This window comes from Homo sapiens, chromosome 12 (genome assembly GCF_000001405.40).
Source record: "Homo sapiens chromosome 12, GRCh38.p14 Primary Assembly".
NCBI lineage: Eukaryota > Metazoa > Chordata > Mammalia > Primates > Hominidae > Homo > Homo sapiens.
The window spans coordinates 80083081-80085050 of record NC_000012.12 but is presented as its reverse complement, the minus strand read 5'-3'; the positions used below and the strand labels follow the sequence as shown (position 1 = coordinate 80085050).

At 50.8% G+C, this 1970-nt stretch overlaps 1 annotated feature.

The window, feature by feature from the left end:
- Positions 1229–1770: an enhancer, noted in NCBI's record as "H3K27ac-H3K4me1 hESC enhancer chr12:80477061-80477602 (GRCh37/hg19 assembly coordinates)". NCBI's record gives its function as "activates a minimal SCP1, AML or CMV promoter by ChIP-STARR-seq in naive H9 embryonic stem cells {active_cell/tissue: H9 hESC(naive)}" and the evidence as "EXISTENCE:reporter gene assay evidence [ECO:0000049][PMID:30033119]".

The following is a 1970-nucleotide window of genomic DNA, read 5'->3' as shown; positions in this document are numbered from 1 at the left end:
GCCAGGCACTATGGCTCACGCCTGTAATCCCAGCACTTTGGGAGGCCGAGGCGGGCAGATCACGAGGTCAGGAGACTGAGGCTATCCTGGCCAACATGGTGAAATCCTGTCTCTACTAAATACTAAAAAAATTAGCTGGGCATGGTGGTGGGCGCCTGTAATCCCAGCTGCTTGGGAGGCTGAGGCAGGGGAATTGCTTGAATCTGGGAGGCAGAGGTTGCAGTGAGCTGAGGTCACACCACAGCACTCCAGCCTGAAGACAGAGCAAGACTCCATCTCAAAAAAAAAAAAAAAAAAAAAGATTGGTACTCTTGGAATTTAGAGATTAGGCAAGATGGCCAAATAGGAACAGCTCCAGTCTGCAGCTCCCAGCAAGATCAACACAGAAGGTGGGTGATTTCTGCATTTCCAACTGAGGTACCCGGTTCATCTCATGGGACTGGTTAGGCAGTGGGTGCAGCCCATGGAGGGCGAACTGAAGCAGGGTGGGGAGCAGGTGGGAAGTGCAAGGGGTCAGGGAACTCCCTCCCCTAGCCAAAGGAAGCCTTGAGGGACTGTGCTTGAGGAATGGTGCACTCTGGCCCAGATACTATGCTTTTCCCATGGTCTTCACAATCTGCAAACCAGGAGATTCACTCGGGTGCCTACACCACCAGGGCCCTGGGTTTCAAGCACAAAACTGAGTGGCCATTTGTGCAGATACCAAGCTAGCTGCAGGAGTTTATTTTCATACCCAGCAGCACCTGGACTGCCAGCAGGACAGAACCGTTCACTCCCCTGGAAAGGGGGATGAAGCCAGGGAGCCAAGTGGTCTAGCTCAGTGGATCCCACCCCCACAGAGCCCAGCAAGCTAAGATCCACTGGCTTGAAATTCTTGCTGCCAGCACAGCAGTCTGAAGTCAACCTGAGACACTCGAGCTTGGTCGGGGGAGGGGTGTCTGCCACTACTGAGGTTTGCCTAGGCGGGTTTTCCCCTCACGATGTAAACAAAGCCACCAGGAAGTTCGAACTGGGTGGAGACCACTGCTGCTCCGCAAAGCCTCTGTAGCCAGACTGCCTCTCTAGATTCCTCCTCTCTGGGCAGGGCATCTCTGAAAGAAAGACAGCAGCCCCAGTCAGGGGCTTATAGATAAAACTCCCATCTCCCTGGGACAGAGCACCCGAAGGAACAGGCGGCTATGGGCACAGCTTCTGCAGATTTAAACGTTACTGCCTGGTGGCTCTGAAGAGAGCAGCAAAACTCCCAGCACAGTGCTCCAGCTCTGCTACGGGACAGGCTGCCTCCACAAGTGGGTCCCTGACCCCTGTGCCTCCTGGCTGGGAGACACCTCCCAGCAGGGGTCAATACACACCTCATACAGGTGAGCTCTGGCTGGCATCTGGCAGGTGCACCTCTGGGACGAAGCTTCCAGAGGAAAGAACAGGCAACAATCTTGGCTGTTCTGAAGACTCTGCTGGTGATACCCAGGAAAACAGGATCTGGAGTGGACCTCCAGCAAACTCCAGCAGACCTACAGAAGAGGGTTCTGACTGTTAGAAGGAAAAATTACAAACAGAAAGGAATAGCATCAACATCAACAAAAAGGACATCCACACAGAAACCCCATCCAAAGGTCACCAACATCGAAGACCAAAGGTAGATAAATTAATGAAGATGAGGAAAAACCACCACAAAAAGGTGGAAAATTCCAAAAACCAGAATGCCTCTTCTTCTCCAAAGGATCACAACTCCTCACCAGCAAGAGAACAAAACTGGACAGAGAATGAGTTTGATAAATTGACAGAAGTAGGCTTCAGAAGGTGAGTAATAACAAACTCCTCTCAGCTAAAGTAGCATGTTCTAACCCAATGCAAGAAAGCTAAGAACCTTGAAAAAAGGTTAGAGGAATTGCTAACTAGAATAACCAGTTTAGAGAAGAACATAAATGACCTGATGAAGCTGAAAAACACAGCACAAGAATTTCATGAAG